This window comes from Homo sapiens, chromosome 5 (assembly GCF_000001405.40).
Source record: "Homo sapiens chromosome 5, GRCh38.p14 Primary Assembly".
Taxonomy (NCBI): domain Eukaryota; kingdom Metazoa; phylum Chordata; class Mammalia; order Primates; family Hominidae; genus Homo; species Homo sapiens.
In genome coordinates, this window is record NC_000005.10 from 109,564,484 (window position 1) to 109,588,079 (window position 23,596).

The 23,596-nt window shown below is 38.1% G+C and overlaps 1 long non-coding RNA gene across 2 annotated transcripts in view; it reads left to right on the top strand.

The window, feature by feature from the left end:
* The window catches only part of LOC105379117 (uncharacterized), a 122,892-nt gene extending 113,040 nt beyond the window's left edge, over positions 1-9,852 (top strand). For both annotated transcript variants that reach the window (XR_001742838.2, XR_948660.3), the window contains 2 exons: positions 7,127-7,282; positions 7,509-9,852. This is a non-coding gene — a long non-coding RNA (uncharacterized LOC105379117). The remainder of the gene's footprint in view (positions 1-7,126; positions 7,283-7,508) is intronic.
* Positions 9,853-23,596: the final 13,744 nt, after the last annotated feature.

The following is a 23,596-nucleotide window of genomic DNA, read 5'->3' on the forward strand; positions in this document are numbered from 1 at the left end:
TTTGCAAAATGTCTGTTGAGATTATTGGCTCATTTGTTATTATTATTATTATACTTTAAGTTCTGGGATACATCTGCAGAATGTGCAGGTTTGTTACATAAGTATACATGTGCCATGGTAGTTTGCTGCACCCATCAACCCATCATCTAGGTTTAAAGGCCCACATGCATTAGGTATTTGTCCTAATGTTCTCCCTCTTCTTGCCCCCCACCTTCCAACAGGCCCTGGTGTGTGATGTCACCTTCCAACAGGCCCCGGTGTGTGATGTCCCCTTCCCTGTGTCCATGTGTTCTCATTCTTCAGCTCCCACTTATGAGCGAGAACATGCAGTGTTTGGTTTTCTGTTCCTGTGTTAGTTTGTTGAGAATGATGGTTTCCAGCTTCATCCATGTACCTGCAAAGGACATGAACTTATTCTTTTTTATGGCTGCATAGTATTCTGTGGTGTATATGTGCCACATTTTCTTTATCCAGTCTATCATTGATGAGCATTTTGGTTGGTTCCAAGTCTGCTATTGTAATAGTGCTGCAGTTGGCTCATTTTTAAATCAGATTGTTTGTTTCTTTGTTTGCTTTGCTGTTGAGTTCTTTGAGTTTTTTATATATTCTGGATATTAATCTCTGTTGGATGAGTAGTTCACAAATATTTTCTCTCATTCTGTAGATTGTCTTTTCACTCTATGATTCTTTCCTTTATTGTGCAAAAGCCTTTTAGTTTCATATAATCCCATTTGTTTATTTGTGCTTATGTTACCTGTGCTTTTGAGGTCTTATTCATAAAATATTTTCCCAGACCAATGTCCTGTAGCATTTTCAGTATGTTTTATTCCAGTAGTTTTATAGTTTCAGGTCTTGGATTCATTTTTAGTTGATTTTTATATAAAGTGAAAGGAGAGAGTCTAGTTTCATTCTTCTGCATATGAATCTCCAGCTTTCCCAGCACCATTTATTGAAGCGACTGTCCTTTCCCCAATGTATGTTCTTGATGTCTTTGTCAAAAGTCAGTTGGCTGTAGCTACATGAATTAATTGCTCTGTGCTCTATTCTCCTCCATTGGTCTCTGTGTCTGTTTTTATGCTAGCACCATGCTGTTTTTGTTACTGCAGCTTGTAGTATATTTTGAAGTCTGATAGTATGATGCCTGCAGCTTTATTCTTTTTAGTCATGATTGCTTTGACTATTTGGGGCCTTTTGTGGCTTGATACAAATTTTGGGATTTTAAAAATATTTTTGTGAAAAATGTCATTGGCATTTTGAGAGAGATTGCATTGAATCTCTAGATTGCTTTGGGCTGAAGTTTCTTTATTCATTCATCTGTTAGTGGACACTTTGATTCCATATCTTGGCTATTGTGAATAATGCTGCAATGAACATGGAAGTGCAGATATCTAATGACAAATCACATTACACCTGTTAGAATAGCTATCATAAAAAAGGCAAAGAATAACAAGTGTTGGCAAGGATGTGGAGAAAAGGGAACCCTTGTACTCTGTTGGTAGGAATGTAAATCAGTACAGTCATTATGGAGAACGGTATGGAGGGTCCTCAGGAGATTAAAAATAGAACTACTGCATTATCCAGCAATCCCACTGCTCTGTATTTATTCAAAGCAACTTATCTTTTTTAGAAAAGAAAATTAATTTGGATCATCTTGATTGCTATTTACTCCATTATAATAAGGAATTACTACCCTCTTATGAGAAATATCCGTTTTTTTTTCTATTGTTACTAACAGTATGTTTTGTGGAGCTAGAGACTCTTTTTAAACTAGAAATATTTATTACTCGTTTTTCTTATTTTTATACAAATCCAAAGAATGTGTTTCACTTAATGCAATTTGCCACTATCTATATGCAATTATGTGAAATTCTTTAGCTTTATTTAAAAAATCTATACTAGTTATTTTCTACAAGTCCATTTTTTTTTAGTGTGAGTAATGTTTTAAATGGAGTTGTTTGCCTGATACTTGATCATCAACAATCCTTACTGATGCCGTCCAGTTAGATTGAGATGTTGAGATCCAAATGGGAAACAGTCAGCAACAAGTGCTATCTTGTTAACATAGTATGTGTCATGCTCTTCCATTAAATGTATTTGTGGCTAGGTATCCTAGAAAGAAAACATTTCTTGGTTACCTATTACCAGGAGAGTGCATGCACTGAAAAACAGAGGAGGCTGGAAGTAGACTGGCAAAGATTGACTCAGATGCAATAGAATTGGAGCTCGGTGTTTCTTGTTCTGCTACTAAATCACTTATAGGACTCTAGGCATTTAATTAACCTCTCTGGATCTCATTTTCTTTCTATACAGGTAGGCTTCTGCTTATGACAGGAGAGTGGTTGTAATATGAAATATGGAAATGAGCTAAATGGAAACAATTTAAGTAAGAATGCTTTACTATTCATTTACTTACTTATTAAACAAACAGTTTTGAACACCCATCTATTGCCAAGCAACATCTCTGACTTGAAGAGCTAACTCACAATCTAAGGAATATATCATATGCTGGCAACTGAGGGCAGTGGGAGGCAGGAGACAGGTCTTTCATGCACAGTAGGAAGGACCAGACTTGACTCTTATTAGCTGGGCGAACCTGGGTATATCATCCACCTTCATTTTTCCATCTGAGAAATTAAGCAATATTCTTATCTGCCAGGGAAAGAGGACTATAAATTTAAAAGCACTGTAAAAACATTAGTTATTATCCTTATTAATTTATAAGAACTTAGCAAAACCATGTTGCTAAACTCTCAACTAAAGGAACGGCTGTAATGCTTTAAACTTTTCTTGAATACTTAGAAAAGTTCAGGATAGAAAGTAGAAATTATCATAAATACATTGTACTAAAATATGTTATGGAAATCCATAACTCTAATTTATTTTCTCAACTCCAACCTAGAACTTACTAAAAATTTAAGTAATCACTCATCTCTTAACTACAAAGCCCTTTTAGATGAAAGATTCTCTATGACTTCAAAGTAACATTATTGACGAGGTTTCATCATCCACCCTCAGTCCACAGACTGGGTGATCAGCCCCTAAATAACGTTAGTTGTCTTTGAGAGATGCAGTTATTTCGCACGAATATTGCTTAAACATGAGTCAGCACTGATCTGCTTCTTGTGCAGGCAAGGGGAGTTAAATTCCTACAGCCAGAAAAGGCAGCTGTGTTCCCTGGAGGCCCCTTTAGTAGCTCTGGCTGGACCTAGAAGAGTATCCACAGGATGCAGATATGTAAATAAGGTTGGAAGAAGGAAAGGAGAATCTTTGAAGGAGACACTGAAGAGATGTCCCAAGTGAGAGAGGCTCTAGGAGGTTCCAAACTGCAGGTTAGGATTCAACAGTGAGCTCGCGCAAGTCTTATGGCCTCTCTGCTTGTCAGTTTTCTCATTGGTAATAATGATCTCTGAGGATCATTCAGAGGAGGATGTAAATGAAATGATAGGTAAGCACTGACACAGAGCCTGGCATATAGTAGATGCCCTAAGAGCTAGCTATTCATCATCATCATTGTCATCTAATTCTCCCTTCCTTCCTCTGGAGTCAGATGCCCACGAGCTGCCCTGCTTCCCAAACTCTGGGGTTCAGGCTGTGCCTGTAGGTAGGGTTTCTTGCTGATGGAATGGTGACTTTTAATTAATGTTCTAAATCTCTCAGAGATAAGCTCTTGTTACTTGTTATCTACAGGGTCTCTCAGGCCCTCTTGGCCTTCTCCCCTGTCATATAGAACGTGTTGCCATTTTTTTCTCTCTCCCATCAATTAAAAAAAAAAAAACTATAATCTTTGCAACATTTATGACCCTGTTTCCTTGGTCACAAGCAAATTATCACGTGTCTGTTGCATGATTTTAGTGTTATTCCACATTTTCAGTCTTGCCATTCTATAATGGATGGAATTTCTACATTTTGCAAAATGTTGCAACCAGTGTGGATCTTCCTAAATTTTGGGGGGATCATTCTTAAATTGGCCCCTGATTTTTCTTTAGGAACTTTTAAATACAACACACACAACACAGCACAACTTTTGTTATTTCTTTTAACATTTAGAAAAAGATGTTTCTTGTAGAAGCTGGCAATTTAGATACATATTTGCATGTTACTTAAGTAGTATTTATGCCATTCTCTTGTACTCTAATAGCTAAGAGGTGATTATGTGTATTACCACTTCTAACAGTCTTATTAATTACAGAAATTATAGAAAATACAGTCTATGTTCACTTCACTTTTGTGTCCCCAGTGCTTAATATAACACCTGGTATAATAAACTAGGCAGTATAATTTTAAATGAATAAATAAAGGATTTTTATGCAGGAAAAAAATGTCAGTACTTATAAGTTTATTTATGGTTAAGAATTTATGGAAAAAAACCAAAGCTATATCAAATAAAAAAATTAGACAAGAAAGTTGGAGATTAATCTTTACAATATAATTATGGCTTTAACACCAAAACAGCCAATGGTCTTATCTAAAAGTGTGAGTACTCTTTTCTACAGATAAGATGCCTGTAATAAATAAGAGTCTTTATTCTGCTGTAGAATTCTGCAGTTCGAATGCTTAGAAAGAAAACCCAGGTACTATAATTTTCCTTCCAGACTTTTTGCTTTCAGGATATTTAGAGACAATTTTCTCGAAAGAGTAAAATTAAATTATATGCAAAGAAGAGTAGAATGTTAGACTGTTGAGGAAAGATATCCCACTGAGAAAGCATTTGTCAGGGTCATGGCTATATTTTGAGGGGAAAATTTTAAATTACAGCATAGAGGTGAATGATAGCTACTACAAGAATAATGATCACTGGGAAATATGAGTTCAAGTGAGGGAAATTACCACAGTCTTTTACAGGAATAAATTATCACTTACATAACCTTAAAAATTAAGATTAAGGCAATCCAGGACTTATTTACCAGGTTACAAAAGTAAGGATTCTATGATCAAAAGCACTTTTTAGTGATGCTATTAGTAGTAACAGCATTAATTATAAAAGATAGAACATAGCACAATGCATATTCAAGATATTATTTTCTCCTGTCATGAAGTAGATAATTATTAGGTAAATCATATTATAGTCAAAATTTTCCAGAGGCAGGCATAGAAAACTTAAATTCAAGCAGCATTAATTCAGAGTTTAATGAATGCAGGACTACTTGTCACCCAAGAGGACAGTGAAGAAAGAAAAGATGTCTGCAATTCAGCCCATGCATAATGATGCTGGCTAACAATTATATAGCACCTACTATGTAATAAAAATTATTAGATCCTCACAACAACTCTCTGCAGTTGTTATTTTTATGTCCATTATTACTTATAAAGTGCTATTATTACGCCCATTTTATAGATGGGGAAATGGAGGCACAGAAAAGTACTATAAACTTGCTCAATGTAATAGTGGTTAATGATGGGATTTGAATCCTGGCAGCTTTCACTCAAAGCCAGACTCATATTCTACACCATCTTTTTTTTTTTTTTTTTTTTTGAGACGGAGTTGCACTCTTGTTGCCCAGCCTGGAGTGCAATGGCATGATCTCAGCTCTCTGCAACCTCTGCCTCCCGGGTTCCAGCTATTCTCCTGTCTCAGGAGTAACTGGGATTACAGGTGCGTGCCACCACGTCGAACTAATTTTGTATTTTTAGTAGAGACGGGGTTTCACCATCTAGGTCAGGCAGGTCTCGAACTCCTGACCTCATGTGATCCACCCGCCTCCTCGGCCTCCCAAAGTGTTGGGATTACAGGCGTGAGCCACTGCACCTGGCCCACTATCCTATTTTCAAGAAAGTAAAATACCCGGGCTGGGCGCGGTGGCTCATGCCTGTAATCCCAGCACTTTCGGAGGCTGAAGTGGGCTGATCACGAGGTCAGGAGATCAAGACCATCCTGGCTAACACGGTGAAACCCCGTCTCTACTAAAAATGCAAAAAATTTGCTGGGCGTAGTGGCGGGTGCCTGTAGTCCCAGCCACTAGGGAGGCTGAGGCGGGAGAATGGCGTTAACCCAGGAGGCGGAGCTTGCAGTGAGCCGAGAACGCGCCACTGCACTCCAGGCTGGGCGACAGAGCGAGATAACGCGCCACTGCACTCCAGGCTGGGCGACAGAGCGAGATAACGTCTCAAAAAAAAAAAAAAAAAGTAAAATGCCCAAACATTGTGTTAATTCTTAAAAAGATAAACCATTTAGACTTTGTTGCACAAACTGACGTGTGTTCTGTAACCTACTCAGTTCAGCTAACAGCAGTAACTATTCTATTTTAAGCAATTCTACTTCACATTAGTTAGATTCAGTTTTTCAATTTGTCTGCTGGATTCTCCAGCCAACGGTCACGCCATGGCTATTGTGTGGAGCAGTAATGAATGTTCAGACCACCTGGAAGAACCAGTAGGCAGGGAGATTTTCAGGTCTTGCCTGAAGGGAGCTTCCTCATGTTGTCTGATGCTGGGTGGTCCCAGAGAGCAGCCAACCTGCTGTGCTTTTTAATCGTGCCAAATCTTCACTGCGATTAGGAAACTGTGTAGTCAGATACAGTGCCTTAAGTTGACTCGATTTTGCTTAAACAATTAAAAAATGTAGTATCTATCACAAAAAGGTGTCTAAAGTTAGAAGAATTTCAGGATTACATTCAGTGGCTCAACACTATCATCAAGGATCTGGGTTTTCCCTTTTAATCCTCTGCGATCCATAGTGAGTTGGCTTTGTCTGGTCACAGGATAGGAGTTACAGCCAGATCCAATAATGCACAGAGGAAGAGGAAATCATTTTATCTAGAAGACCTTTTCTCATGTCTTATTGATCAGAACTAGGTAGCTCCCAGGCCAACCACTGGCAAGGGGAATGGAGCTGCTATGATTGGATTTGACAGAAGCCCTGTAACTGGGGAATCTCTTCAGTCACGGGAGGAAGGATACACAGACACTTTGCTCTGCTGGCAAGGGAAAGAGAAAAGGATCTTGGATTGGCCACCAACAGCATCCGCTATAGGATAAACTGCTCACTTCGACTGCTCACTTCAATAAGATATATTCATAATACTGCCCATATGTCTAGTTACGAGAAAGGTTCATTGTTGTTTCCTGCTTTCAGAGAAATTTTTGTATGTCTAGTTTTAATTTAACACTAGGCTCTTTAACTTTACAGGAAAAACACTGCATAAACATGGCATCCAAAGAGAGGAAGCAGAGACATGATGCACCAACTACTACTTTAGTAATTGAAGAGAGAGAGAAGAGCCTGAAGTCATTCAATAATTAGATCAAATAATTTACTAATGGATCATTTGTCTTCCCTTCCAATGTAAGTTTAAATTCTTATTACAGAGAGGGACAAGGAAATTGTGGAAAAAACACAAAGAATTTGAGACTCCTAGAACCTAAATATTGGCCCAACTACAAGTACCAGAAAATCAAAATTCCAATACATTGAACAAACAGGAGTTCATCTTTTTCTCCAGGTAGGTAGGCAAGTATAGAGCTCCATGGCAACATCAATGACTCAGGATCCTTTTATCTTTCTATTCCAGCTTCCTTAGCAAGTTGGCTAATTGCTCCATGGTCACAAGATAGCTGCTGAATCTCTAGAAATCATTCCCAAGTCCCATTCAGGAAGAAAATAAAAGGGTGCATTGGCTTTTTCTGTTTCCCTCTTCTCAGAACTCTCTCAGCAGACTTTCACTTACGTGTTATATAGTCCAGAACTGGATGGCATGGCTCCCCACCGTGTGCAAGGGAGATTCAACAGGATTTGGTTTTTCAGCCTCTGTTGGGAGAGACCAAGAGACAGAAGGAGACTGGGTAACACTGTCCACCGTAACCACTTAGTATAGTGATAACTCTGGGCAAATATTAATTACTACTGGGCTAGTTGAAAGTTTCTGGGAAGCAAATCAGTTGCTAAGCACATGCTCTATGAGAACCCATAATATAAATAAGAAGAAGAAAAAAGAAGGTTTAAATGTTGGCTTACTTAGAGGAATGCCTAGTTTCTTCTCTATCACTGTGGTAACCACTAGGTTACAACTGTTACCTTTTCTCACAGAAAGACAATTCCAAAACAGACCTCAAATGAAAATGCTACACAAATAATGGATTAATTGGGTACCATTTCTACTCTTCTCATCATGTTTTACAAGCAGTTGAAATAATATGTGCCCTTCCCAGTCCCTTTTTAGTATTTGTCAGTAGAATAGAGTGTCAAAAACGACTTACGATGCCTAAAACATTTAGAAATTAAAATAGCATGTGGTGGTGCCATGACCTTTTCAATATGCTGGTGTTTCAATTGTTCAGCCATTCCTCTTGTTCTTTTTCCTGACTGTTCTTTATCAGAGGAAAAGGTAAATTGGCACCTCAAGTATGGAGTACTCAAAGGAACTAAACAGCACATTATTGAAACAATTCAGAGGCAATCCCGCATAGCTTCCAAGTGCCATGGAAACAAAAGATGGTAACTTTATTAATTGTGAAAGGTTGGGGGAACGAATTTAGTATCTTGCTTTGCCAGTTTTCCTCTAGTGCACAGTATAGTTTCCAGGACCTGCATACAAACATCAGTTCATGATCAAAATGTGACCTTGCCTGTCCCGATGAATAAAACTAATAAATTCCCCAATGATATGCTTATTATGCTTCTCTGAGGGAAGATGGTTGCTTTCGTGTCATTGTGGTTCCATAATATCTCTTGGAAGGAGGCTTCTGAGGATGCCCAAGCTGCTCCTCTGGGTTTCCCTAACACCCTGCATGCGCTCATCGTGTAGAAATTGCCACATAGCGTTACAGGTTTCTGTTCACTTATTTCGTCTGCCCAGTGGGAATGTGATTTCCTGAAGAGCACCTAGCACATGCCTAAAACACAAAAGGACTTCACTAAACATTTGCTGAATAACTACCACCTGTGCCAAGAAGCAGACCGGCTTCCGCTACAACTGACAGCCCTTCTCTCCTGCTAGTCAGAGATTCTCTGTCTTGGAAGAGACTTTAGGAAACAGCAGACATCTTGGATGTGTGCCTGCCTGCATTACCACCTTCTCCAGTTTTATCCTAAAGCTGACTTCAGTACAGCTCTCCCCAAACTGTGGAAACTTTGGATGACTACCTAAGAACTCCACAAACTCAAGCAGCTTTAAAGCCACTCTGCAACTTTCCTACAATGAAAGAGGAGGCAGGTACCATTCTCAGATAATACCGATGAATTCAGAAACCAAAATAAATCTGAAAAAATGTAGTGCTTCACACTTACATTTATACCCTTCTCCCTTCTTGCTTTATTCCCCAGAAGTGAGTAGCTCCTGAAACTGATAGCCAAGAGATGTTCAGGAAGAACCTGTCCCCAAACAGGTGTTTGCACACCCAAGTTATGTAGGTGTCGGAGTAGAGCATGTACTGATATGTGAAATTATATATTTAGCAAGAAGGAAACCCACTACTTTTCTATCTGACTCCATTAAAAAAGGAGAATGAGGAAGCCATAACACATGTGACAGTGACTGATAAAGCATACTATATTGGCTGAGTGAGGCCCCTGGAATGGAAGGGTGAATTCCAGATCTGCCACTTCGTAGCTGTGTGATCTTGGTCACTTAACTTCTTTAATCCTGGGTGGTCACATAGGTATTAGAATAAAGATAATGACACGGCCTACATCACATGGGGTTGTTAGGAGAATTAGCTGTAATGTGCAGAGCTTGGCTATTGGTGAATTCTTAACAAGTATTAGCTGTAACTATCAGTTATTATTCTGTGACAATGGCCTGCCATTGCTCTTCCAGGATACTGGATATTTAGAGTGGAGAGAGGGCAAGAGAGAGGAGATCTGAGCTGCAGACCCAGCTCTATGAAAAAATATTGATATGGTCTGGACCATTCTTAGGGCCTCAGTTTTCTCATCTAATAAATGAGAGGTTTGGATTAATCATCTCTTACCTGATTGTTCTGGAGACTGACTTATAGCAACCAGTGCAAAACAATCTTAACACTTTGCTGAGTATTTTGTTTGAGATTGAATAAAACAAAGATCAGTTTCCTGAAAGCATCCCTTGACAGGTACAGGCTTTAAGCCTGTATGAGATCCGTGCTTGCAAAAAAGAAATGTGCATTTGCAGAGCATAGCAACTAGTCCTCCCTGCCAGCACACAATTGAGCACAAAAGACTCAGAGCACACTGTCCTAACTGGCTCCACCTTCTTCACAGCCCTAAGAGCCACCTAATTCCTCCCTGCCTCAAATGCCTATTTTCCTTGGCCACTGCCAAGGACACCTTTCTGGTCATGCTTCACCTCGCTGACTTTCATCCTAATAATGCTTTGTCCTTCTTCTCCCTGGTCCAGTTTCTCACTTTCCCCCACACCTGTTAAACTCTTCCCTTGAGCCATTTAAACTCTTCTTCTGTGGCTCCAAATCATGGCCTTCATCCACTTCTTCAGGGAACAGTCCCTCAATCTTTTCACCTCCACAGAAATTTGACCATCACCTTGTAAGATCACTTGTCCTACAGCCTTTTTGCTTAGAGGCTGCTTTTTCTCTGCCATACCCTGTGAAGCTTAGAATTGAAAGGTAGGGCCTGTAGCCCACTTACTTCTCTTCCCCACTCATGAATTGATGACATTGGCAACAAGCTCACTGTCTTCCTCTCTACCTTAATTCCTGCCACCATTCAAATGTGCATGTGAAGAATTCAAGTATGCATGTGGCTGGCCTGCTTAGCACACAGCCTCTCTATTCTATGACCTCTGTTATTCAAACATCTCTCCAGCTGAGTCATTCAGTTCCATTTTCACATCTTATACCTTGTCATGTCCAGAGGTTTTGCCAGAACCTCAGAACCTTCAAAAATCTCTAATTAAATAAACTTGTGATTCAATCATAACTCCTTATTTTAAAAGTTTGACTATTCATGTACTTTTTCTACAAGTAAGTGCCCACTTTATCAAAATAGCCAGTCCCTTGACCCATCTACTTTCTCTTTGCTCACTGGCCTCCTCTTGCTTGACCTCCTTCCTAGTCAAGCTGAGATTTCATGGTCTGCAGTTTCAATCACTGTCTTGTCAAAATCCCAAAATCCTTTTCTTACAATCACCTGACAAAATTCCAGCCCCAGATGAATTCACTCTCTGCTTTCTGTGCCTACAATTGAGCCACTGAACACAATTGTAGGAAAAGAAATTCCACAACCAGACAAATATATCCGTAAACATCCATCATTTTTATCAGTCAGGGTAGGCTAGGTTCTGCTGCAGTAACAAGCAAACTAAAACAGTAAGAAGCAAAACAAAACATAAGCAAAACAACAAATCTCAAAATCAAGGGCTTGACATGATACAAATTTCTTTCATATGTTGCAAGTCCAGAGTGGGCTGGCAGGGGCTCTTCTCCTCTTAGGCATTCAGGGATTCAGGGTGATGGAGGCTCCACCTCGGCTCACTATCCACAGCCCCTGAAACAAGGGGAAAGGTTCTGTTCATCTTTCATTGGCCAAAGAAATTCAGGTAGCCTTACCTGCACTCAAGGGTCTAGAAAAGTAAAATCTTATCATGTACCAGGAATGAGAAGAACCAAATACTAGTATTTATGAACTGTCAATGACTGCCACAGCCATTAATCTCAACTGCTCCTGGCATTCTTAATAAGTTTCTCCAGTTAGCACTTTCTCCTTCTCTCTCTCTTGCTCTCATTCTCTCTTTGTGGCAACTATTTCAAGCTTTTATTCAGCCTCTGACTCTACCTCTTTGTAGTACTCTCACAGTTGTGTAGATTGGAGAGAGATGATACAAATCCTAGGACAGTGACTGCAGGAATATATCATCTACAGTTTCCTCACCAGTAACAGAGAGATAGTAATATCTGCCAAGCTTACTTCAAGGCCAGGGACATGTGAAAATTAACTGAGAATGTGCAGGCATACCTCAGAGATATTGCAGGTTCGGTTTCAGGCCTCTACAATGAAATGATATTGCAACCATGGGAGTTATGCAAATTTTTTGTTTTCCAAATCCATATAAATTTATGTTTATACTATAGTATAGCCTGTTGTGTGCAGTAGCATTATGTCTAAAAAAATACTTAATTTAAAAAGTTCTTTATTGCTAAAAAATGCTAACAATCATCTGAGCCTTCAGTGAGTTGTAATCTTTTTGCTGGTGGAGGGTCTTGCCTCGACGTTGATAGCTGCTGACTGATCAGCGCAGTGGTTGAGGAAGGTTGACGTAGCTATGGCAATTTCTTAAAATAAGACAACAATGAAGTTAGCCACATTAATTGACTTTTTTTTTTTTTTTACCAAAGACGTTTCTGTAATATGTGATGCTGTTTGATAGCATTTTTCTCACAGTGGAACTTCTTTAAAAATTTGTAGCTGTTTGATGTTGGTTACTTAACTTACTATTCTCAAACCCTTCTGCTGCTTTATCAACCAAGTTTATGTACTATTGTAAATACTTTGTTGTCATTTCAACAATTTTCACAGCATTTTCACCAGAAGTAAATTCCATCTCAAGAAATCACTTTCTTTGCTCATCCATAAGAAGCAACTTCTCATCACTCACATTTTATCATGAGATTGCAGCAATTCAGTCAGATCTTTAGGCTCCATTTCTAATTCTATTTCTCTTGCTATTTCCACCACATCTGTAGTTACTTCCTCCACTGGTCTGGAACTCCTTAAAATCACCCATGAGGGTTGGAATCAGCTTCTTCCAAATTCCTTTAACGTTGATATTTTAACCTCCTCTCATGAATCATGAATGTCCTTAGTGGTATCTAGAATGGTGAATGTTTTCCAGAAGATTTTTAATTTAATTTGCCCAGATCCATCAGAGGAATCACCATCTATGGCTTCTATAGCCTTATGAAATGTATTTCTTAAATGACACTTGAAAGTTGAAATTACTCCTTGATCCCACAGGCTGAAGAATGGATATTGTGTTATCAGGCATGAAACCAACATCAATCTCCTTGTACATCTCTGTCAGAGCTCTTTGGTGAAAAGGCACATTGTCAATGCAGTAATATTTTGAAAGTTTTTTTTTGTGATGAGTAAGTCTCAACAATGGGCTTAAAATATTGAGTAAACCATGCTGTAATTAGATGTGCTGCCATCCAGGCTTTGTTGCTCCATTTCTAGAGCACAGGCAGAATAGATTTAGCATCATTCTTTAGGGCCCTAGGATATTTCAAATGGTAAAGGAGCATTGGCTTCAATGTAAAATCACCAGCTGCATTATCTATAACAAGATTCAGTCTGTCCTTTGAAGATTTGAAGCCAGGTATTGACATCTCTCTAGCTATGAAAGTCCTAGGTGGCATTTTCTTCCAATGGAAGTTGTTTCATCCCCAATGAAAATGTATTGTTTAGATTAGCCACCCCGTCAATGATCTTAGCTGGATCTTCTGGATAACTAGCTGCAGCTTCTCCGTCAGCACTTACTGCTTCCCCTTGCACTTTTATATTATAAAGACAGCTCATTTCCTTAAACCTCATGAACCAACCTCTGGTAGCTTTAAACTTTTCTTCTGCAGCTTCGTTACCTCTCATTCTTCATAGATTTGAAGAGAGTTAGGACTTTGCTCTGGATTAGGCTTTGGCTTAAAGGGATGTTATATCTGATTTGATCTTCTATCCAGGCCACTCAAACTTTCTCCATATCAGTGATAAGGCTTCTTTGCTTTCTTATCATTTGTGTGTTCACTGGAGTAGCACTTTTCATTTCCTTCAAAAACTTTTTCTTTGCATTCACAACTTGGCCAGCTGTTTGATGTAAGAAACCTTGCTTTTGGTCTATCTCAGCTTTCAATGTGCCTTCTTCATAAGCTTAATTATTTCTAGCTTTACATGGCACATGTATACATATGTAACAAACCTGCACATTGTGCACATGTACGCTAAAACTTAAAGTATAATAATAATAAAATAAAAATAAATAAATAAATAAATGAGAGAGATACGCAATTCTTTCTTTTGAACACTTAGAAGCCTTTGTAGGGCTGTTTATTGGCCTCATTTCAGTATCATTGTGTCTTAGGGAATAGGGAGGTCTGAAGAGGAGGACAGAGATGGGGAAAAGGCTAATTGGTGGAGCAGTCGGAACACACACGACACTTATCCATTAAGTTTGCCATCTTATATGGATGTGGTTCATGGAACCCCAAAACTATTTAAATAGTCACCTCAAAAATCACTGAATACAGATTACCATAACAGATTTAATAATAATGAAGAGTCTTGAAATATTGTGAGAATTCTCAAAATGTGACACAGCTACACAGAGTGAGCACATGCTGTTGGAAAAATGGTGCAGATTGATAGAGTTGCTCAACATAGCATTACCACAAACCTTCAATTTGTAAAAAGCTCAGTATCTGCAAAGCACAATGAAGTGAAACAAAATAAGACAATTTGTGCCTGCATTTGAAAGTACTTTGAAAACTTAAACACTATATTTTATAATTGTAATTATAAACATATATAAATTATAAATAATATTATTTCAGAATATCTAATAAGCACAAAATGCAAAATGGGGCTAAAAACATCATAATGGCTTAGAATTTAAGCTCCAGGTAGGCTTTTTTGTCTGTATACTGATATCGTCCCGGTACCTACAGTGTCCAACACACAGTAAGTATTCAGTAAATATTTATTAAATTAATTTTTTTGAGATGAGGTCTGGCTACTTCGACCAGCCTGGCTTTGAACTCCTGGGCTCAAGTGCTCCTTGTACCTCAGCCTCCCTAGTAGCTGGGACTACAGGCACATGCCTTCATGTCTGGCTAATTTTTATTGAATATGTGCCCGTTTATAAGGTAGCATCACTACTGTGGGATATTAAGGTGTTTTGACATGTGTTCATATGCTAAGAACTATTACCTAATTCTGTATCCAGTTGAATATTTTCTTGTTTATATGGTATAAAATTGGAAATGTGTGTTGGGGAGGGTGAGGGGCTGGTTATCACAAAGAAATAAGATCTAAAGTCCCATAAAATGACATTTTGGAACCAAAGTTTTGCTTACTAAAATTTTCATATTCTATAGGGTCTTCAAATTCATGAGTTTTGTATATGCATAATAAAATATTGTCATTATTATGAATCTAAAATGCATTATAACATATGGCAAAATTTGCAAAAATGCATTCATTATATATTAGACAAGGCAAATACTTAATGTATGGTATGATAATTTAACAGGAAATATTTGCAATTGATCCTTTTAAAATAAATTGGGTGCAACTCACTATTGACTCAGCAAATTATGTCTTTTTGTAGTTTATTTAAAACAGTTCTTGTTTTCACTTTTAGCCACATTATATGGCAGTAGCGTATATGAATAGATATGCAGCTATTATTTATTTGTCACTGCCTGCTAATTTCGTTTTTAAAACGTCATTATTTTTGAGTTATTACTCTTTGAAAACATTTATAAGTCTGGGGAGTTTCCTCAACTTGAAAAATTCAAAAACCAAGTCCATTTCTTTAGCCTTTTCTGCAAACCTTTCTTCATATGTTATGGTTCTATTCAGAGTGGACATTTGAAGTTATGTTTAAGGTGACCATCATAAATCAGCAGCCTTCCTGATAAGTCATATTCAGCAGTGGCAGCCATAGCACGGCTTGGTATTGCAGAAGCAAAGCCTTAAGCCTCATTATGACCCGGGGCGGAAGACACTTGTACAAGACCCAGGGACTTGCTCTTTGAATTTTTCAAACTGAAAAAACTGCCCAGAGTTATAAATGTTTTCAAAGAGTAGTAACTCGAAAATAATGATGTTTTAAAAATGAAATTAGCAAGCAGTGCATTTACAAAAAACAAACAAACAAACAAACAAATAGTAGTCAAGTAAGCAGGGTTTATTGTGTCACCAAGTCCCCCAAAGGTCCAGGGTTCTCACATATTCCCATATTCTTGTTCAGAAATCACTGAGTTGCTTCATCGTACCTCCTGAGGGCAGCATTTAATATCTCTTTTGACCTATTTCTCCTTATCAAAATCATCCGTCTTATGTTCCCTAATCTTAAGCCTTAGGACATAGCTTGCTTCTCATCTGATAAGCAAAATCAAACCAAGCTGTTAACAAACAGTTGGTGTGTTTCCCTTCTACAGTGTACAAGTGATGTGCTAGGCTCTGGGGCGTATGTAAAAGGTGTAAGAAAAAATTCTTTTGTTAAGGATTTCTAGCTGTAGAATTAGACAAGACACAATTTTATTTGATTCTTGAAAACTTAACTAAAGGTAGCAAATATTTAATGAGAAGGTATCACGTGCCAGTCATTGTCCTGAGCTCTTATACACAAGTGAATAAGAACCATTTCTTGCCCTCAAGGAACTCATGCTACCACAGGCAGAAGTTGCAAATTGTTGCCTGGAGGCCCATTCCTGCCTGTGAATTCCTTTAGTTTCTGACTGGCACACTGCTGTAGCAAATTTGAGGCTAAACTTGAAATTGTATAATTTCACATAAAAATCTGAATTTCCAGTTTCTACAAAACAACAACAACAAAAACAAAAAAACCCCAAGATAGGGCCCCATTATTCCACCACACACTCACCAGGAACTGAGTGCAGTCTCTCCATTTTGACAGGATGAGTTTTTCAGTTTGCCACAGTCGTCACCAGTCCCTCTTTCCCAGCTCAGAGGTTGAGTCTTAGTGGTTATTTGTTAACAAGTGTGAAAAAACACTAGGGAAATAGTTTTGTACCTATGTCTGTATCAAAAGTGGGAAACGAAAGGTCCAAAGGACCCCATGTTTTAAGAAATGTGGAGGACAGCATATTCCCTTTGAGAAGTAAAAATAACCCGATGAATTTAAGGTGCAACTGCCAGGCCTTTGTCACACATTCAAGTAACCTGCCTCACCTCTTTAAGTGTTTGAATTTCAGGCCCCTTGTTTAGGGCATATTGATGTAAAGTGCAAGACAGGGGAAGACATAGAAAAAATTCTATAGGTGTAAGAAGGGGAGAGAGTGGTAATTAGTGGCAAATCCAAAAGGCTTTAATCAGGTGACAGCTTTGCGGGTTGGGTGGGAAAGGTCACTCAGAGAGAAGCACCATCTTGAAACGAATCCCGAAGCTGGGAGAGCATCTAGTGAACAGTAGTGAATAAATGGTAGCCGCAGTGAGGGGCCGTGGAGGGGAATAGCAGTGGGTGGGTGATAGGAAAACACTGGAGTCTTGAGCTCTGATACATAAAATGTAATGTTGTATATGGGCATCAGGGAGACTTAGGTAAGAATCTCTTTCTTATCCTTTTAGTGGCTCCTTACAGCCATCATGGACCATTCACTATGCTCTTGAGGACTAGCCATGAATAAAGCTGAAATGCCATACCACTCCATTTGGGGGTAGTGCCAGTACACCATGCAGAATTATCTCAAAATCAGATCATCTCAAAATCGGGTCCAAGTTGTTTCTTTCTTGGAACTAATCATAGGGCTGTGAGTTTGGGCCAGGGGAGAGGTGACAACGAGCAGGGAGTAGGTGCCAGGGAATCTGAGCCAACTTCTCCCATAGCTTATTTGTGCCTTCAAGGCCTGCTTGAGCATGGTCTTGTTTATACTACAGTTGGCCCTTGAACAATGAGAGGGTTATGAGCACCAACCCCTGCACAGCTGACAATTTGTGTATGTCTTTTGACTCCCCCAAAACTTAACTACTAGTAGCTTACTATTGGCCAGAAGGCTTACCAATAACATAAACAGATAATTAACAGCTATTTTCTATGATATATGTAAGACATACTATATATTTACAATAAAATAAGCTAGAGAAAAAGAAAATGTTCCTAAAACAATCATAAAGAAGAGAAAATATATTTACTATTCATTAAGTGGAAGTGGATCATCATAAAGGTTTTCACGCTTATAGTCTTCACATTAAGTAGCCTGAAGAGGAGAAGGAAGAGGAGGGGGGTTGGTTTTGCTGTCTCAGGGGTGGCAGAGAAGGAAGAGATGGAGGAGGTGGAAAGAGAGGCGGGAGAGATTTATTGAAAAACAAAACAAACAAAAAAAAACCACATCTAAGTGGACCCATGCAGTTCAAACCTGCGTTGTTTAACCATCAACTGTACTTGCACGTGGTTCTAGAGTGCTGATGCTGACACCCAAGTAGGTGGCATTAGATAACTTCAGTTCCTGATGGGCAGCTCAGGCTATATGGTTGTTTGATGGACCTTGTTCAGTCATTCAGTCTCTGCTTGGATCCAGTAGTACTCCAGAAGTTATTCTTTAGAAGAAGAATTATCTGTGGAAAAGAAGATGATTTTTCTCAAAAACCCCAAAGGGTCTGCACTGTAATTCTCTTATCTGGATTTGTCAGAGGCTTAATACATCATTTCTGTTTGCTACAAGTGGTCTTTATGAATTGGTATATAGAAGAAAGCATTTACCGGATCAATAGTAGCATACCTGATGCCAGAGGATGCATTGATTTGCTCCAAAAAGATAGCGCTTTGGGGCAGTAGTTGTAATTGGTGTCACAACCTGATTAAGTTTAAAATAATTTACTGTTACTCTCCAAAATTCATCTTTCTTCTGCACAAGACAAATAGGGGAGATTTATGTGAATGTCATGGAAATCACCGCCCCTATAACTTTCAGGTTTTTGGTGATGATATTAATCTCTGAAAGTCTCCCAGGGTTGTGTAATTATTATTAATGTATCACTTTGGTAGTAAAGGGGTAGTTCAAGGGGCTTCCTCTTGGCTGTTCCTATTACAATAGCCCTTACTTCAAGGGTCGGGAAGTGGGAGTTCTGCCAGTTGCTAAATATGTTTTTGGAACCTGGGAAAATAACTATGAGAGACCCACTTGGCCCACTGGAAGATGTATTTAAGCCAAAACTTTGTGTGTTATCTGACATCCATAAGTCCCCAGTCTAACTGGTGGGTCCTAAAATTTGGGGGTTATCTAAAGATTTGTCATTTCAGAGCCAGGGTCCAGAAACCTAGAATCATCTGGGTATTTTCCTTTCCCCAGAGTATAATCATCATGATAAATAGGTACACTACTTTTTGGGCAAAGCTAGAAGGAAATTTTATGTTCTTGTTGCAACCTCATTGAATCCTTCCTTCAGAAGTCCAAGCTCCCCTTTATTTTAAGGGATCTTATTAACTGGCTCATTTGTGAAAACTGGTGAGAGTCCTCTACTCTTCATTATGGCTATTTAAGTCAGATACCTGTACACTGGATTTAATTTTTAAAAATTTTACAGGTGAACTAAGACTTTATCAGGCTGAAAAACCATTTGAATTCCATAAACACTATGACAAAATAAAGTCACTGCAAAAGATATCTGTGAATAAAACTATTTGGATTGGGACTTTGTTCTTTTATTCAATAATATGCTCTTGGCTACCTTATCTCCGGTGGCTAAGTGCTGTCAATTGGCCTCTGTAACTCCTGGTAGCCAATCTGAATAGTGTTATACTATACTGTCACCTCTGAGCTGCAGAAGGACAGATACCACTGAGATTTTCAAGGATACTGGTTCTCCTTTCACAGATATATTTCTTAATGCCTTCATGATTGGAATGTCCTCTGGGCCATAGGAAGGGGTGGGTGAAAGGTTACATATGGTTGATCTACACCAAAAATTTAATCTTCCTAATCCTTTGCATTTCTTCTTCTTATACAAATTTTATTTAATGAAGCCCATTGTTGGGTCAGGCTTTAGTCAACCAATTGAAAAACTCTTTATAGATTTATTCCCAACCCTCAAACTAAATATTGAATCTAAAATTTATGGTAACTGCACCCACATTAACAAATTTGCCCATATCCAAAACTGTTTCTCCCTCTCTTGTCTAAAATCATTAGATTGCATTCCTACAATTGTTTTCCAGGTTCCTGGTAATATAAATCTTGCAGTTCTTCAATGTGTACATTACATCCTTCTTGGTCAGACTCTGTACTTACCTTTCCAGAGCCTATTGGTCTGTGATTCTAGTTATGAATCTGGGAGCAATAAGAAGTGATGGAGGTGAATCATGACTGTATCCCTGTGCAAGGTAATTGTTTCAGGGTCTTTAAGCAAAGGGAAGCTAATCTCAAATAGGAAAAAGGGAAAGCTGAGAGGCATTTGGAAGTTCGTGATTCTCAGAGTCATTGGAATCTATCCAAATGTCCTCATTCCAATTTTCACTTTTTCTCAATCAATGCCCTAACTTTTACATAAGAGACCTGGCAAGTCTGTGAATTTCATTTCAGTTATAATTATCCAACCTACAGATGAAAAAAAATTTTTTGCATTAGCCATATGGCTATAAGAGATATTTTTAGGGCAGTCCTAGAAGCTCTCTTGTTCTCTGTCTGTGCCTTGAACTGAGAATATGAAATCCTAACCTTTTATTTAGATGCAGCCAGCCCATTTCATAGTCCTTACAGTCTTTATTTCCTCTTAAAATCCTATTGTAATAGCAATCTCTCAAAGGCTCTTCTACAATAAACACTTCATTCCTCAAAGCTATAGATATTTTGCCACTGCTGTCCGTGGATGGCTAGTATCCCATCTTTCACTGGTGATGAAGTCGTAATTGCTTTCCAATCTAACAAGATTAGATAATTAAATCCCCAATTCCTGTCTTTGAGCTTCTGCATCTTGGAACCACTTTTGGAAACAGACTCTGTTATCAGTCAGAGTTTTCCCAGGAAAGTACTTGCCTCTCTTGGCTTACCCGGAAGGGATGACTAAATACGAAGGGAATTACAAAACTTACAAAGCTGTTGGAGGACTGGGGCAATTAAGGTTCATGGAAACACTGCTTCCTTTGAAGAAATGTGGAAATTGAGGAACCACAGTAAGTGACTGGTGATTACAGCTGCTTGAAGAACTCAAGTAGGTAATTCACAAGAGCTCACTCAAAAGGAGCTGTAAACTTCACGGTTGCTATCAACCTGGGCATCTACCATCCATGGCTGGGGAAGAATATTGGCTGTGCTCTCTTCTGCCTTCCAAATATTATGCAAGATGCTTTGTCACTAGCAGTGAGAGAGTTTAAGCAATGTATTTTGCAGGCTTCCAGACCCTGTTATATAGGAAAGAGTTATGGACATTCAGATTGACATTATGGACAGTCAGTATTTGGCACAATATATAACCATCAGCTTCTCAAAAATATTTAAAATATGGCATCAAAAATAATATATGACCATTCGTTTTTCTTATTGCCTTTCCAATAAGTAGAGGGTTATAGTGTTCTCATGATCTGATGCTTATTTTTCCTCCTGTTTCTGACCAGTTATTTTGAGCCTTTAAGATGAGACTAAGCAGGTAAGAGATACATAGAAAAGGGTTTAAGGACCTTGGGCAGTGACTAGGGAGGGAGCTTTTAGGAGGGTTAGAGAGAAAGGCACAAGAGTAGTTACAATTTGAGAGCTTTGGATGGAAGGGGAAAATCACTTTTACAACCATTGTTTTGAATATATGTTTATTTCATCGTGCTTAAGAAACACAAACAAAGGATTTTAGTCATTTTGAAATATCTTTTGGTTGTCGCATTTTGTTTGTATGTTTGTTTATGGCAGAGACTCTCTAAGTGTGCTCTACAGGTCCCTAGAAGTCCCCAACAAGCTTTCAGGGATTCTATGAGGTCAAAATTATGTTCTTCATAACACGAAGATATTGTTTGCCTTTAGCATGCTAAAATTTCTACTGATGTGCAAAAACAATGGTGGGTAAAAAATACTGGCAATTTAGCAAGAATCATAGCAATGGCACCAAGCTGTACCTAAGTCAGTATGTTCTTCACCACCATGCATTTACATTACAAAACAAAACAAAATAAATTAAATTCCACTTAATAATATCCATGGTGAAGTAATGAAAATTATTAAGGTTAAAATTAATAATTAAGATTCAATAAAAATTGAGTATGCATCACTTTAGTATTCTCTGGGACAAAATGAGAAGTACCTCTGTGAAGTGCTTCAGCTGCATATCAACATGTAATGTCCCAAGGAAAGGCATTCCTGTGACTATGTTGTGAGCCTAACTAGCCAGTCCACAGAAAGCCATTTTTACTTGAAAGAACAATTTAAGACAAACTATCATTATTCAGACTAGGGGATTTGGCAAACATGGTCTCCAAAATGAACAAAATGAGCCTATTCCTTTAAGGGAAATAATTTACACTACATGTTGCCAGTGACAAAATTCAAGCATTTGGGTAAAAATTAACATTTAAAAAACTTGTATCAAAACTATGAGCTTGACAGCTTCCCAGTACTTAAAGACTTCTATGATGAGATTAGTGGTGATATTAAATATGTGATGTTTTGTATTAGATAATGAAATATGTCAACATTTGGAAGACATGCATAACTCAGTGAACCAATATTTTCCAAATGGTCAATGCATGATGTCACAAAATCAAGTATGGGTTAAATATTCCATCAAAGTGCAAGACAGACCAATAGATTTTAATGTAAGAGTACCGAAAGGTCACTGATACAGATTCATATGCTGCATTACAACTCACTTTTAACTAACCACCACATATTGAATTTTGGTGTAGTATAAAAGAAGAATATCCACAGCTATCTGAAATAGTTATTCAAAGATTTCTTTCTTTTTGAACTACATACCTGTTTGAGGCTAGAATATATGTATATGTATATGTGTATGTGTATGTGTATGTGTATGTGTATGTGTATGTGTATGTATATGTATATATGGCAGAATATGCCACCCCAAAATATGCCACTTTGGGATAGAATTATTTTGAGCCAAAAGCACTTAAAAAAATCACCACCAACAACGGTAGGTGCAAGAAGTGTGTTCTAGCCCTCTTTTTCTTCCTGAAATCAGGAGATAAAACCCCTATATGGAAGGTGTTCTCCCTGTGTCAGAAGGAAAGTAATATCATCAGCAAGGATGAAAAGTGTGGCCAAGAGAATTCTGTACAAACAGACTTTGTTAATAATTCATGTCTTCCTTTAGCCTCTCCTCATAGTTTAGTAATTTTTCCATAAAAGTTACCATTGTGGAACCTAATATGAAAGCACTTAGAATTTGCCACTTCTTTGGGCCTTCATTTGCTTAAGTATCATGTAAAACATTAAATAAATTTGTATGCTTTTCTCCTACTAATTTGTCTATGTCAATTTAATTCTCAGGCCTAGCCAAAAAAACTCTAAGAGTGTAGGGGTAAAATTAGCCTCTCCTATAGTGTGTGTGTGTGTGTTTATATATATATATATATGTTTATATACATATATATGTTCATTTATTTATTTATTTTACAGACTTTATGTTTGTAGAGCAGTTGTTTTAGTTTCCTAGCAAAACCGAGCAGAATATACAGAGATTTCCCACATACTCCCTGCCTCTCACATGCATAGCCTCCTCCATTATCAACATATTTGGTAGTTTCTTACAAAATTAAACATTTACCATATGAACCAACAATCACGCTCCTTGGTGTCTACAAGGAGTTGAAAACTTATGTCCACACAAAAACCTGCACATAGATGTTTCTAGCAACTTTATTCATAATTGTCAAAACCTGGACGCAATCAAGACCTCCTTCAGAGGCAAATGAATACATAAACTGTGGTAAATCCACACAGTGGAATATTATTTGGCACTAGAAAGAAATAAGCTACCATGCCGCAAAAAACACAT